Below are 15,874 nucleotides of genomic sequence, written 5' to 3' on the forward strand. Positions count from 1 at the left end.
AGTCTCATTCTGTCACCCAGGCTGGAGTGCAGTGGTGCAACCATGGCTCACTGCAGACTGGCCCTTCCAGGCTTAAGTGATTCTCTCACCTCAGCCTCCCAAGGAGCTGGGACTACAGGGATGCACCACTTCACCTATTTTTTTTTTTTTTTTCTAAATGTGTAGAGAGGAGGTCTTGCTATGTTGCCCAGGCTGGTCTTGAACTCCTGGGCTCAAGCGATCTGCCTTCTTCGGCCTCCGGAAGTGCTAGGATTACAGTTGTGAGCCACTGTGCCCAGTCTTAAATTTAAGTTTTGTTTTTTTTTTTCTTTTTTGGTGGCATTGGAGACAGGGTCTTGCTCTGTCACCCAGGCTGGAGTACAGTGGCACAATCTTGGCTTACTGCAACCACTGCCTCCTGGGTTCAAGTGATTCTCTCCCGGGTTCAAGTGCCTCAACCTCCTGTGTAGCTGGGATCACAGGTGTGAACCACCTCACCCAGTTAATTTTTGTTATTTTTAGTAGAGATGAGTTTCACCATGTTGGCCAGGCTGGTCTCAAACTCCTGGCCTCAAGTGATCCAACCACCTTGGCCTCCCAAAGTGCTGGGATTACAGGCATGAGCCACCGCACCTGGCCAAATTAAACTATTTTGTTTTTTTAGTTTTTGTTTGTTTGTTTTTGAGACAGAGTCTTGCTCTGTCACCCAGGCTGGAGTGCAGTAGCGTGGTCTTGGCTCACTGCAACCTCTGCCTCCCGGGTTCAAGTGATTCTCCTGCCTCAACCTCTTGAGTAGCTGGCATTACAGATGCCTGCCACCACATCTGGCTGATTTTTGTATTTTTAGTAGAGACAGGTTTCACCATGTTGGACAGGCTGGTCTTGAACTCCTGACCTCAGGTGATCTGCCTGCCTCGGCCTCCCAAAGTGCTTGGATTACAGGCATGAGCCACCGCGCCTGGCCATAATTAAGCTTTACAATGTCTTCATCTGTAAAGAAGGAGAATAGTACTTGACCTACTTATTTCACCAAGTTGTTGTGCAGCTTCACGAGAGAGGAAACTTTTTCACAGCTAAATGTTTAGGGCTTGGAACACAGAAGGAACACATTTTTACCGAATGAATGGAATCATATAACACATTCAAAAGGCCTTGGTAAATGGCAAAGCATTATGCAAACATTAGTCACTACCGTTATCCGTTATCATTTTTAACTGGTCTACTCTATTGGTGCCACTTGTGCCTTTCATAAGCTATGTCACTGCCAACACACTTCCGGTTAATTGTACCAGAAACTGCTGACTTCCTATTGGAAGATTCCTCATATTTCCTGATAAAGACAGTAAAGGGCTGCCAGCTTGCCGAAGAGAGAAGGAACATTTGTCATTAGCATACCTAGGTGTCAAAAGGCTGCTTGTAGAGCTTAGAAACAGTTCCATGAAAGAATGTTAATCACCCCTTTGCAATTTCATTTGCCTATTTTCTCTCAATCCCTGTCACATATATTGCAAAGCCTCATTTAGTTTTTCTGAACCTGAATTACTATGAAACCCAAACAAATAGGGGTAAGTAAAGGTAGACTTACAACTGAGATATTACCAATAATTTAATGTTTACTTCTTTGATGGTGAAGTCAACACACATTTGAAGGTGTATAATTTTATCTTCAGTTCAGACCTCTCTCTTAGCTCTGGAAATGTTTTCTTAAAATGCAATGCATGTCTCGCTCTTGTTACCGTCTTATACTTTCGGTTACCATGACTTCAGCTCAGAAAATACAACACAACTGCATTCAAATCTAATCACAAAATAAAAAGAATATAACCAATTTCCAAAGTTTTCCTCCTAAAGGTGGACTTCCTTTTTGATCCAGTAGTTTACAATAAATTATCTCCCCTTCATTATGGTTTGTCCTCTTTCCTGGAGCATTCTCAGAAATTGCTATAACATCTTCCATCAAAAGCAAACAAACTCCTTCCCTTGCCCCAACATCACCCTCGGTTTCCTGCTCAATTACTCTAATCTTCTTTAAGCAAAACTCCCTGAGAAATGTCTAGATGGTCTCCACTTTCTCTTTTCCTGTCCTCATCTGAGCCCACTCTACTGAAACTGAAACAATTTTCTATTTTCCTTGACCTATGTGACACCCTTGATCACTCCTCCATTCCTTAGCCTCTTTGGCTGCTTCCTGTTATCTGAGCATCCCTGGAGTGTTAGTCCTCAGTCTTCCCTTCCTTCTTGGCTATACTAGGTGGTCTCTTCCAGTTGTGACTCCCAAATTCATATTTCCAGCCCAGACTTCTTCCCTAAATTCAAGACTTGGACACCCAGCTGCCTGCTTGATGCTTCTCCTTTTGCATTTATTAAATCAGCTCAACCTTAAATTAAATGTCAGAGACCAAGCTCCTGATGACCTCACCTCCCTGTGAGCTTCCTTGTTTTGGCAAATGGCAGCCATTTTTTTTCCAGTTCCTCAGGTTCACAATGCTGGAGCTCTCCTTTCTCCTGTATCTCGCATTCAATCCAGCAGCAAAGCCTATTGAATCTACTTCTAAAATTTCACCTTCCTGTCACTACTTGCTCCAAGCTACTCCCTTTTCTCGTTTGATTTATTCCATTGGCTTCTTACGGGTCTCACTGCTGTTATCCTTGCCTCCTTAGTATCTCTTCTCAGTACTACAGCCAAAATGACCCATCTAAAATGAAAGCCAGGTCATTCCACTCAGCTCCATTCAACACAGAAGATAATTCAGTCCTAACAATGACCTGCAAGGTTCTCCGTTCTCTGGTACCCACACTGCTCTACCTCCCTACCCTCCTCTCCTACCCATCTTCGTCTTGCTGTCTGGGTTCTTGACAGCAAAGCACATTCTTGCCTCATAGCCTCTGCATTTGCTTCTCTTTCTGCCTGACATGTTCTCCCTCTGGCTACTATAGGCCTAGCTAGCTCCCTCACTTCCTTCAAGTTCTATTCTAATGTCACTTTTTCAGAGAAGCCTTCCCTAGGCATATTACATCCAAATTAAGTCTGTGCTTTCCACTCTATAAAAGAATTATTCTTTCAAGCAGAAATTATTTATTTATTTATTTGTTTGTTTTTGAGACAGGGTCTCACTGTCACCCAGGAGGGAGTGCAATGGCACGATCTTGGCTCACTGCAACCTCCACCTCCTAGGTTCAAATGATTCTTGTGCCTCAGCCTCCCGAGTAGCTGGGATTACAGGTGTGCACCACTACACCTGGCTAATTTTTGTATTTTTAGTAGAGACGGGGTTTCGCCATGTTGGCCAGGTCTCGGACTCCTGGCCTTATAGGATCCCCTCGCCTCGGCCTCCCAAAGTACTGGGATTACAGGTGTGAGCCACTGCACCTGGCCTTAAGCAGAAATTTAAAATGTAAAAAATGTTTGGCACATAAGAACCTATCTCCCTGTCACCCTGACATTCATGCAAAAGTAGTTACTGGTCATCTACTGTGTGCAAGGCCTGGGTCACAAAGTGAGTAGGGATCAATCTTGCTTTTAATCAACGTTTATGGCATGAAAATTGCTTTCTCCGTGGACAGAACCAGTAGTAAACTGGGACTGACAGGCTGATGGTGGGTCTCAGAACAGAGCAAGTAGATGACAGCTCCATCAACTCGATAACCCCTATTAAGCTCTGGAAAGCTTCTGGGAGTCTGCTGATATTATATAGCTAATCTAATAAAGAAACTTTTATGAATAGAGCCCTCCAGTCAGATTCTACCAGAGATGAAATTTTCTGCCGTGTTCTAGCCCTGAAAAAAAAAAAGAAAAAAAGACTTTTTCTCTGTTTCTCCCTTATGTTTGTCATAATACTTTCAACACTTCAGGGTATTCAGAAATTGACCAGAAAGAAACCAGCAAGAAATATGAAAGTTTCAGAGTGAAAGCTCAAGGAATAATGAAGTGCATTCCTTCTTCTGGATGATAGTGCTTCTAAAAGAAAATGAAAACAGACTTGAAGAGCAAACAAAACAGCTTCAAAGGCAGAAGAAAAAAGGGCATCCCAGCAAAGGAAGCCTTAGCCAATAGCCAGCAAACTCAGTGGCTCCTTGAGCAGAGACTGGGATGAAATGAGACCTGTCAAAGGATGGAGTCAAACAAATTCAGTGCAGTCAAGGGGTAACGCACCAAACACCTTGTATGCATATTTTCTTTCAGCAGTGACAGCCCCACAGTTGCTTCTTCTGTGGGCATTAACTGAACCCTGCCTGGAAAATCAGAAAATTAGAGCCTTTTGTTTCTTGTGAGTTACCCAGAGGCCGCAGGCCAGCATCTGATTACTTCTTCCTGCCCACCATCGGAGACAGAGGAACACTCCTCCTTCTCACCTCTTGAGTGAGTTTTGAGATACACACTCAGTCCTGTAACAACTGCATGGGATTTAGATTCTTCTCTGCAACCACACTGTTAGCTTCTCAAGTTCCCTGTCTGTGTCTATTTATTTCTAGTTCTAAAGTGTGAAAAAGTTATGCATGCACCCACTGACCCTTTTTATAAAAGGTCTCAGCTGAACTATTTCATTTGCAGGAAATGCTAGAGTCAAGAAAATGCTGCTTCCTGCCATTTCTCCATCTTTCTGAAGGGCAATCCTTCCAAAACTTCATGATCGTGACCTTCCCCTGTGCCTGTGGGGAGGATTTTTGGACAGATCAGTTATCACCTGCTGGGAAGGAAAAGCCAGGCCAACAGTTGTTTCTCTAACAACATCTGCACGTGTGACCCATGATTGCTGGAGTCAGCATTAATCAACCTACCAAGAGTGGGAGGAAGTAAACAACACATTTGGTTCCATCTAAGTCCACTGGCATGATATAAATTCTAACACTGTCTTCCCAAGTTTAAGGTTTTCCTTCCATTCCCTTTCCAAACTCCCTTCCCTTTCCCATTCCTCTCCAGTTCCCTCCCTCCCTCCCTCCTTCCCTCCCTCCCTCCCTTCCTTCCTCTCTTCCTCTCTTCCTCCCTCCCTCTTTCCCTCTTTCCCTTCCTTCCTTAACTCTAATTCTGGGACTGATATCACATAAAAGAAGTCCTCGGCTACTAAAGTAGGAGAGAAGGAGAGAACTATAGGCTTATGATATTCCTGTTATTCATTTGTAGAGGTAATATATAACCTGTATTCCCTAATATGACAGCTGTAGCCCTAAATGGCATTACACAATTGTTTATGAAATCCCTTTACAAGAAAAAAATAGAGCAGAGGAAAAAAATGAGCATTGCCTGTACAATCCAGCTCTCATTGTGCAGCTCCCCAGGTTCCAGGGATGTTGCAGGGAATTTGAGTCAATTGGGATCATGCTGTTTATAGCAATATGGGCTGTTTTACTTGTTCTACCTCAAAGTCTGGATGCTATCAAACGTTTTTCAGGGCCACTAAAAAGCAGAACATTAATAACTAATTCAGAAAGGCAGTGATCAGCTTTTTATCATAACATGAATGGCTGAAAAAAACCTAGATTTTGCAAAGTAATGTTGTTCTTTGTAACATCTCTTTACAATATACATTATATTCCTTTCTTGCAAAGTGAGGTTGTCATTTCCTTTACTTAAATTCATTTATTAACTGGAGCCCGACTGTTTGTTTCCTGCTTCTGACAGAAAAGATGCATTGGGCAGAGTCATTTATTCAATGATGTTTATTGAGACCCCACCATTTCTTCATTTTATCCTTGTGAAAAATATGAAAAAACAAGGTGCAGTTGAACAATCCTCTTGAACGATGCCAAGCTAAGAGGTCTCTAGTAGAAAGCTCACAGTTTTTTTTTCAATTCTACTTTAATCAACACTTCACTCAATACACTGATGGATGACTTCAAAGGTTTGTTGTTTTGAGGTAAGATTCTTAAAATGAGCACATTACATAGTTGAAAAGGATCACTGATATACTGAGTGGCAACTAAGTCTTAGAAAGGTCTTGATAGACTAGGATTATTGGATGAGTAACTTTATAAAAACTGCTTTATCTGGAAAAGGATAATGTAAATCCAGCGCTGCTGAGAAAGGAGGCGTAGCTATTGATAAAGGCTGGGAAATTTTCATGAAGAAAAGCACAGTAAGAATGAATGACATGTTAATGTTGATCTGCCCAGAGCTGGGGAACCAGGATGCTGTACGGCCCACATCCCCCTTATCACATGGGATTGGCAAGGAGCTGGAGACATTTAATATAGTGAAGGGAAAATATCAAATTGTCTTCAGTCTTAAAAAAACTCTTCCCAGCAAAAGGGAGCAGATGTATTCTTTGTTGTTTCAGAAGATATCATGAACTATGTAGGAGTTATAGGGAGGCTTATTTCAATTCAATATAAGGCAAAAGTTATATCAACTAGACCTTTTCCAATCATGGGGCTGCCTTACAAAGAGCGGGCCAGCTTTCCAGTCAAGTTTAGGCAGAAACTTGTGGCTGTCTGTAAGGATGTATTAGAATGGGTGCCTGCATCAATTAAGAGATGGGACTACATACATTTTCTGGCCCCTTCTCATCTTAAAATTCTCTGCTTTTCTTTAACAGTACAGTTGGTCATCTGTATTCTCAGTTCTGCATTCTTCTGACTGCACAGAAGAATCTTCTAGCTATTAATGCATACAGACAAAAGCAAGTTATCACAAATTTTGTGATCCTGCATTCAAACCTCATTAGAATAGAGGCCCATACAGAAAGGAGGTCATATCATTTCACAATGCTTTACATGAAGCAATTGTTTACTATCTCTGATTTGTAAAGAATGAAAAATTGGATGTCAGGAGCAAAGGATTTTCTTCAAATACAATGTTTATCCATGCTACTTTAGAGGTTTAATTCTCTACTGAAGTTGCATTTACATAAGGTATTAGATATTCTTAATAGGATTTTTCAAGGAACTCAAAACATTGCATTGGAGCATTTGGGGTTTTGGAATTTCTGGAATGTGCCACGTCCGCTAGTTCCCAGTTTGCAGAGACAATATGGGGTGTTCATCAACACTGTGGTTCACACGACAGCTGTGAAGCTAGGCTGCTGGCATTGGAATCCTGGTTCTGTACCTTTTAATTTTTGTGGCCGTGGGCAAGCCACATAAATGCTCCATGCCTCAGTTTCCTCCTTATAAAGCTGTACTAATCAGTGCTGGCTCTGACGATGATGCCGATGAATCACCAGGCCTAAGCTAGACCGATGATACGCTATTGTTCCAGGCAGTGTATTTCCCTAAAAAACTGGAGACCATCTCAATTTGTGTCCAATCTGATCTGTCGTAGAGCCCTGTGGTTTTATGATGCCTATAGCCTTACATAAAGTAATTTGGTCAACAGTATTTACAGAGTGTTTATTTTAGAGGAATTAAAAAATGACTACGGAAGAGTGAGGCATTGCCCCCACATAGCCAACATACACTTTACCAAAAAAGAAGCAAACATTTAAAAATGAAATATAATGAAATATTTTGAAATACACTAACTCATAAACATCCTTTAATTTTTAAAAGTATTTAAGTATGGATATCATCCATAATTCCTTTTCCAAAGAGCACCAGTGTTAACTAGGTTATAACATGAATAGGAGCTTCTTGGACAGTGTTTGCTTTCATAAAAACTATGATTTCCAAGTCAGTGAAGAGGTATTAGTTTGGGCTTACAAGCTGGAAAACAGAAACAGTTTTGCAAGATGTAGCTAAACATGAGATTTACTTTAAAATGCATTTACTCCCAGATGCAGTTGAGAAAGCATAATGTAGAAGAAAACTAGAAGTTATCTCAAAATAATAACAATAATTTCTAAAACAACCCAAACGTATAGTTTCATAGTTTGTAAAACACTTCGAAAAAATACCATTTTATTTGTGCCTCACAACAATGATGTGGGGTGGGCATTAACCTCACTCTAGGAAGAGAAAACTAAGGCTCTGCATAGCTAAGAAGCGTGTCCAAGGTTACAGAGGAAATAGACATCAGAGATGGGATTTTTCACCATGATCTCATTTCTTCAAACCTGGCATTCTAACAAAGCTCATCAAATTAAGTATGAAAAAATGAAATCAATACTCATCTGATATAGCAATTTTCCATCAGACAATCTCAGAATTCCAAAGTCAGAGTGGATTTATTCAGATGCCCATTATTGCTATTTCTGCCTGCTTAGAAACCAGCCCCTCTTCTAGCAGCAGCGGCCTGGCTGTTCATGGGAGGAGGTGCCTCCTTACTCCTCAGTCCACATTGTTCACATGGAGCTAAAACCACCCCTGGTGTGGGACCTCTGTCTTGCTAATCAATCTGTCTGTCTGTCTGTCTCTCTCTCTCTGTCTCTCTCTCTCACATATACACACCCCTTTGCAATTAGCTCAGGGAAGGACACTTGATCCAATCCAGGCTCACTGGAACTGATGGAACGTAATACTGAGACTTTTTCTTTTTTGAGACAGAGTCTTGCTCTGTTTCCCAGGCTGGAGTGCAGTGGTGCGATCTTGCTCACTGTGAACTCCGCCTCCTGGGTTCAAGTGGTTCTCATGCCTCAGCCTCCCGAGTAGCTGGGATTACAGACATCTGCCACCATGCCCAGATAATCTTTGCATTTTTAGCAGAGATGGGGTTTTGCCATGTTGCCCAGCCTGGTCTTGAACTCCTGGCCTCAAGTGATCCACCGGCCTCAGCCTCCCAAATTGCTGAGATTACAGGCATAAGCCACGATGCCTGGCCTGGGACTTTTTTTTTTTTTTTTTGACACTCTTGGAAAGATAGGTTCTCTTTCTTGTAACTTCAAGTTAAACAGCAATTTGGCTTGAATCTCTCCACACGGAGAGGGAGGCTCTTTGGGAAAAGAGCCAACACAGAGGACAGCAGAGCCAAGAGAAGGAGAGCCAGAGAGCAATGCAGCAAAACAGCACCTGGATCCAGGACTCCTGCCCTTTTCTGCTTAAGCCATCTTGAGTTGGATTTTTTGTTACTTACATGCATCTGGAAAAGTCCTTGCTGATAAATTACTTTAGGCCTATACGCACAGAATTAACCAAGACAGGGCCACACAAACAGCCCTATTTCTACTAGATGTTAAAAAACCTTCTTTTTATTTTTTTTACCACTGGAAAAAGAAAGGGAAGAAGGAGAAGGAGAATAAGAACCAGAGAATTCTCCTACCCTTGAAAATTTAGCAAGGGCAGATTATAACAGCCAAAACTGACCTGTGGACCCAAGAACTGGACTGCATGTAATAAGAAACATTCTGAAAATTTAACAAGTGGAAAAATAACCTGCTGGGCCTCTTTGTGAACAAGCTGCTCAATGTCAACAAGCCCAAGGCACCACTAAATATCACAAGGTCAATTCCACTGAAATAGGGTTTTTATATATTGTCAGATTTTTTGTTTAGTTGTTTTGAAAACAGAATATTTTCTATTGATATCTTCTTTTTCTTTTTTTAAATCCATGGTCTGGTTTTAACTGCAAACAGGACCCTTGGTTAAGCACCAGCACATGGAGACAAGGTGGAGACGTCAGAGCTTCTCTAGCAAAACGACTGGAGGTGTTTAGGGCTGACGGGTCTATCAGAATCAACTCTGGCTAATTTGCCTTCTTGATGACCTTGACAGGGAAGAAAACAATCTAGACCTGTAAGATGAGTATCAAAGCCTGAAAAAGAATCCATCTGAGTGATTCTCCCACTTCTTCCAATTATTTGTTTTAAGACTATAGTACAGTATTCACAAGACACTAATCATATTGACATTAGTGTTGCCCAAAAGACACTTAATCATACTGGAATTTCTAATCCCAAAGTTGTCTCAGATAGAGCAGGGTGTATTTGCTAAAAGAAAATTAACTGACCATATTAATAAAAAAGGTGTACAATACATCAGGTTTAAATTCCAAGTATGGAAGCGCTATTTTCCACTTTTGTGTTGGTCATAGCTGGCTAGTGGCCTAGAGTTCTTGGCTTGAAATAGGGCACAGATATCATCAACATTCCAGATGATCTCTGAAGCTCGGGTGTCAGCTTGTCAACTTGACGAGCTGTCAAATCGGAAGCTCCTGACGGAAGAGCTTATTGAGTGCACTCTTGACCTTCTTTTTTGGTTATGTATGATCTGTCTGTGCTTAAGTATTAAGAGTTGCTCTTTAGACCTTCATGGAAGGAAATGTTGAAATCATGGACAAGCTGAGCCTTTCTGAGTAGTGGCTATGTGATGAAAATCTAAATTAAATCTAGGCATTAACTTACGGACATTAAACAAAAAATCTGATGTGACACAGTAATAGGAAAACTTGTTTAGTTTGGGGAAAAAAACACTCTCTTTTCTTTGAGACAGAGTCTCCCTCTGTCACTCAGGCTGGAGTGCAGTGGCACCATCTCAGCTCACTGCAACCTCTGCCTCCAGGGTTCAAGCAATTCTCCTGTCTCAGCTCTCCTGTCTCAGCTGGGACTACAGGCATCCGCCATCATGCCCAGCTAACTTTTGAGTCTTTAGTAGAGACGGGGTTTCGCCATGTTGGCCAGGCTGGTCTCAAACTCCTGGCCTCAAGTGCTCCGCCCGCTTTGGCCTCCCAAAGTGCTGGGATTACAGGCGTGAGCCACGGTGCCTGGCCAAAAAAGCCACTTTCCAAAATGCTGTTCCTTTCTTGGTTGTGCTATTTTCTGAAAACTGATTCTGTAAATTCCAGTAATGCCAGAGCAGTGGGTAGAATTTCTGGGAACAACAGGCCTATTCTCTCAGGAAAAGTATATAAGAGGAGAAGTTACTGTCCTACTTCTTTCCCAGACATGGCAAAGTGTTTGCCTCATGGCTTTCTGGGATATCCATGCTTTTTAAGCTAACAGTTCTGTGCACAATATATTTCCATAAAGTTCCAAATTTCACTTAAAGAAAAAAAAGCCCTCTCACTTGATATTTTATCTAACAATGTTACAATAATAACGTGTTATTACCATATGATATTTTTTGTTACAATTTTGTAACCTGAATTGGTAGAGAAATATGGCATCCATTCTCTGCTTTCCCTGGCTTTGACATCATTCTACCCAGATCCCTCTGCATCGTGATATATGCTCCTTGGCAGATGATGTGTTTACACAATTAAAATAATAAAAGAAAAATGCAAATTCCATTCTCAATCTACATGCTAAATATGGGTAACACTGGAACAAAAGATGGTCTTTATAGAATGCTACAACCACCGGAGCACTTGCCCTTCAACTCTCTTTGTCATTAATTGGCCTACAATGAGCAGGGACCTTTGAATTAGGGACTGACAGGTGATGGGTCTGAACCGATAGTCATATCTGTCTATATAGTGCTTTACAGTTTAGAATATGCTTTCATATAAATTATCTGATACATACAGGCCTGAGAAGCAGACATTATCCACATTTTAAAGACAAAAAAATTGAAATTCAGAGTCACCACATAACTCGGTCCAGGTCACACAGCCAGAAAGAAACCAAATCAGAATTCCAACCGAAGAAGCCACTAAGAAAACAGCATCGACTATTTGGAGAAACACCACAAGCAAGAATTTGTTTGTAGACAGAGTTAACCCCACACCTACCTACAAAGCTTTTCACAAACATGGGAGACAGGCAGCGTTCTGACACACTGTGCAGGGTCTCTGCTGAAGGATCAACAAATAACCAGTGCAGTTTTGCATTTAAGGATTTCATGGTGTTAACCACGAGTTGATTCAATCAGTTTCCACTAAACTACTGTGATTTTCTCTTCTGCTTGCTGTGCCCACATAAATGGAATCTATTATGGCACATGAGAAATTAGTATTTGTTGAACTGTTTTTAAAATATTTTATATCATTTTAATACAGAGGCAGGCACAGGGCATCAGGGACTATAGAAGAACAAGGATAGGGTTAGGCAGGCCAGGGCTTGAGTCCCAGCTCTACCATTTACCAGCTGTGAGGCCAAGCACTCACCCTGTTTGGCAGATGTGCACATAGGCTCTTGTGAGGATTAAATAAGATACTGCATGTGCAATCCCAGGCATGAACCTGGTCACAGCAGTGCTTCTGTATGGCTCAGCTTCTACTTCCCTTCCTTTAATAATATCAAAACAACAAACCTTGGAAGAACTAAAATGTAATATACAAAATGCTTTCAAATAGAGAAGTAATTGACCTAGTTGTACTTATTAATACTATTTAGATTGAGAAATATTAAGCTTGCAACTGAATTAATTTTCTAATAATTTAGAAAAAGTGTCTTTAGTGCCCCCAGGTAATACTGCTTTTTTTTAAATCTTAGGCAAGAGCATTCAAAACATAAAGATTTTATATTACACACTATTCTCACTAATATTTAAGCTAAAGTTTATGCAAAGATATGCATTTCTTTTACTGTTGAGAAGCCTTTGTTTTGTGAAAATACAAGTACTATTTCATTTTCTCATACGTTTTTCTGTAAATGGAAGCCTTCTATAAATGGCTTAACTTGCAGCATTTGGAAACTTTTTTTTTTCTTGCATGAGTTTGGAGAATGTGGCCTTAACCTTATTCATTCCATCACTCTCTTATTGTTCATTTTAAGGGTACTTCGACTTCTAAATATCATTCAAGAAAACTTCTGAAGACTGCAATTAGGTCCTAAATACTGAAAATATTTTCCTCCTTCTGATATATTTTCCATTTACTATCTCATTTCCACATAACTCAGAATTAAAAGCTGATCTGCCATGTGCTGTACACACATTAATAGTGTGTAGGACACCTTGTTTGTGCTAAAATGAGATAACAGATGTCAAAGTACTTTGAGAATTTAAAATCACTATGCACATTAAGGTATAATTACACATATGTGAATGCAACATTTATTTATTAGGGGTGTGGAAATTGGGGAGTGTTTCAGAACTTCTGGGCTAATGAGTCCAGTTTAGAATTACAGGCTGGAGAAGCTATGTTTTCAACATGATAGGAAACCCATCATTCAGATGTATTTATATCATTACATTCAGTTCATGCTGAACTCAAATTTTGTTTCTTGCATATTCATTTAAAATAATTTGATGCCAGAGTACTGCTTATATCAGAATAATAGCAAACAATACTCACAATATTTGCAAATCCCCTGTATCCCAAGACAGGTATTTTAAATATTGTTTCAAATTGAAAAAATCAATTAAACCCCATTCTAGTGTTTTATTTTAAATATCTGCCAACAAATTTAACAGGTAAAATGGACATTAAATTTATCTCAATTTAACTTTAAGCATTGCTTTTCCAAGTTAAGCAAAGCACCTCCAAACATCTGGTAAGCAGACCTCAAGAAGGCAAAACTCCTAATGAATTATTGCGGCCACCAAGAACTTAAGGTTTCTGGCCCAGGGCTAGAATTCCAAATCACTCTAATGGTAGCTCAGCTAAACTTGAAGTAGAGGGGTTTCTAAGAACATAAATCTGTCCAGGTGATTTTCTCTCAACTGCATTCTCATTTCTTTTAGTAGGTAAGAAAGAAAGCCTGAAGGTGGACTTTTGCATTTTAGTGGGAAATGGACTGGTTAGGCAAGCATTAACCAAGCTACAGTAAGCTTCTTGGGAGAAACTCCTTGGGAAAGAACTGGAGGAATGGAGCTCCAGGTTGGAAGGAGGTATAACTGGCTGCTTGCTTGCAAAAATTTTAATTGCTAATTCAAGTCTTTAGGAAGACCCAACTCGATTGTCTAAACACATAACTTCAGGGGAAAAAGTATGGTCTAGAGAGATATGACAGGTTTTTAAAAAAGTATATAAATTTCAAAAAGTATTACAGCAAATGACCAAAAATAAGGTAGAATAAGAAAAAAACAAACATCAATTGAGTAGTTGAGTGGTGAAAAGTCACATAAATTGAATTATTCAACAACAAGATGACAGAGTATTTCATATTTTGACAGGTTAAAGCAGTATTTTTAAGAGGTATGCATTCATTGCTCCATGGGTTTTGGCCTTCCATACTAGCGATCATGCTCAAAACTGCAATTAACACCACCCAGAGAGTTGCAGTTCCAGAATCCCTTTTTCTCATTGATCAGATTCCTGTGGTGTCATCTCCTATTTTCTCTGCAGCAGAAGTGCTGTATTGAACAGCAGGCTTTTAGAAAGCTTCTAATAAGCTCCTGATGGCTGATGGAGCCTGTGTGTCTAGCAGTCACTCGATCATCGTTAGTACTCCACATGAGGGGAATGCATGCGTGCACAGGTGCTCTAGTTCACTACGTCCCATCAGCCTGCTTATCTCACTCTGTTTTCTGCTTTTAGGCTTTTTTCACCTGGCCAGATAAAAGCCCATTCCATTTTCTCAAGGCAAGACAATTCTCATAAGGGATGCATTTCTGATTGGAGTGACCCGTTAAAAGATTTGTGCTATTTGGTACTACTGCCCCTGCTTTCGAAAACCTCAGGCAGCATGTAAGGGTGCAGTCTTGCTAGGCCACCTCTGAGTGTTTATACATAGGTAGAAGGGTAAGTCGTTTTTTAAAAAAACCCTGCAGTATATGGAGAAATTTCATAAATTATGTGAGCAGCTGAGAGAGGTAATTCTGCTATACTGCGGTTGACACAGTCAATAATAGCTAATGCTCATTAAAGAACTATACTCCCTTACCCAGGGAAGAAATGGGCTCAGAAAAGACCCAGTTCATATTAATACACAAAGACAACATGGCTCAAAGTTAAAACAAACCACATCTCTGAAATGCTGTCATTAGAGAAATTTAACCACATATGTGACTCGAAAATATAACAAGTAACGAAATAAATGAAAAGTTTGGGGGGAAAAAGCTTTCAGATGCCCTATTTAAAAGAGCACCAGTGAAAACAGTAATAAAAATTAAAAGACAATACCTAGCAACAGAGAAAGATAAAATTATTCTTATTTCTCCTATATTTTCCATCCCCTTTCAATAAAAGAGTCTCCATAATCCCAACATTGCCATTGCCTGCACAAAGAACCCAGAGAACAATTCAAAATTAAAGGAGCTGAAAGAAGACACAGTATCCCAGGCCTTCTCTCCCCAAGGCATCTGCAGGCAGAATAGCCATGGTTTCCAGAACATTCTCATCACATTTGTCTCTCGTGAGCTGCAGCATACAATGTTTACCAGAGGCTTTAAAAATAAAATCTCACTAAACAGTTGAGAAAAATATTTAACAACCAAGGCAAAGCAATTACAGTCAAATTTTCACCTCGAGATTCCCATCTTAGGTGTGGGAGGCAGAGAGAAGACTCCTGCACATCAGTCTGAACCTAGAATGAGGATGAAAAGAGTTGATTCTGCCAATGGTTGACAACAAATCCATATTTTTGAATCTCAGGGTGAAATGCGGAGCTACCCGCCCATCTGAATGTACATTAAGAACAGCGCCACTGTTCGGTTAAGGCTGACTCAAGTTTCTAAGCAGCAATCCGAGGACAGGCTAGACATGAACATCCCTACTAAAAACATGGAAAGGTCTGAACGTGACAGATCTCCCTTTTCAATTACTTGTGCTAGAAAGCATCATCATTTTCAACTAGTCAAGGTGACAATATGAGAAAACGCAACTAGTCCCAGTAGAGCATTTCTGTATGAATGTATAGACTTGGGAGGAAATTAACCACATCACACAGGGTTAATCCTTCCCCCCAAACTTCTGCCCCATTATCCAACCAATTTACATTTTGTAATCTAGACTTTTATTACTCATTTTCATTATGATTTGACTTTGACACTATATTATTCCCTTCAGGGCAAAGACTTTCTGGGTGCAATGAGATCAGACATAATTTCTTCAGCAGGAATGCATAACAAGGACATGTGTACACATTCCATTCCCAGACATTTCTGTCTCGGTCTAGTTCAGATGAGCAAGGAATGAAAGGCGGGGCATAACATGGTATAAATTCTAGTTAGGCACGGACAATAAGCATCCATAGGAAGCTACTGT

General features: G+C 40.4%; 1 protein-coding gene across 73 annotated transcripts in view, besides 1 other annotated feature; it reads right to left on the bottom strand.

Moving 5' to 3' along the window:
* The window catches only part of ANKS1B (ankyrin repeat and sterile alpha motif domain containing 1B), a 1,250,151-nt gene that overhangs the window by 78,451 nt on the left and 1,155,826 nt on the right, over positions 1–15,874 (bottom strand). The gene's annotated exons all lie outside the window — the stretch shown is intronic.
* Positions 11,105–11,274: an enhancer, noted in NCBI's record as "experimental_31455 CRE fragment used in MPRA reporter constructs". NCBI's record gives its function as "activates a minimal promoter by MPRAs in K562 erythroleukemia cells, with activity observed for the non-introgressed 12:99218204 variant allele {active_cell/tissue: K562}" and the evidence as "EXISTENCE:reporter gene assay evidence [ECO:0000049][PMID:34662402]".

Source organism: Homo sapiens, chromosome 12, assembly GCF_000001405.40.
Source record: "Homo sapiens chromosome 12, GRCh38.p14 Primary Assembly".
Taxonomy (NCBI): Eukaryota; Metazoa; Chordata; class Mammalia; order Primates; family Hominidae; genus Homo; species Homo sapiens.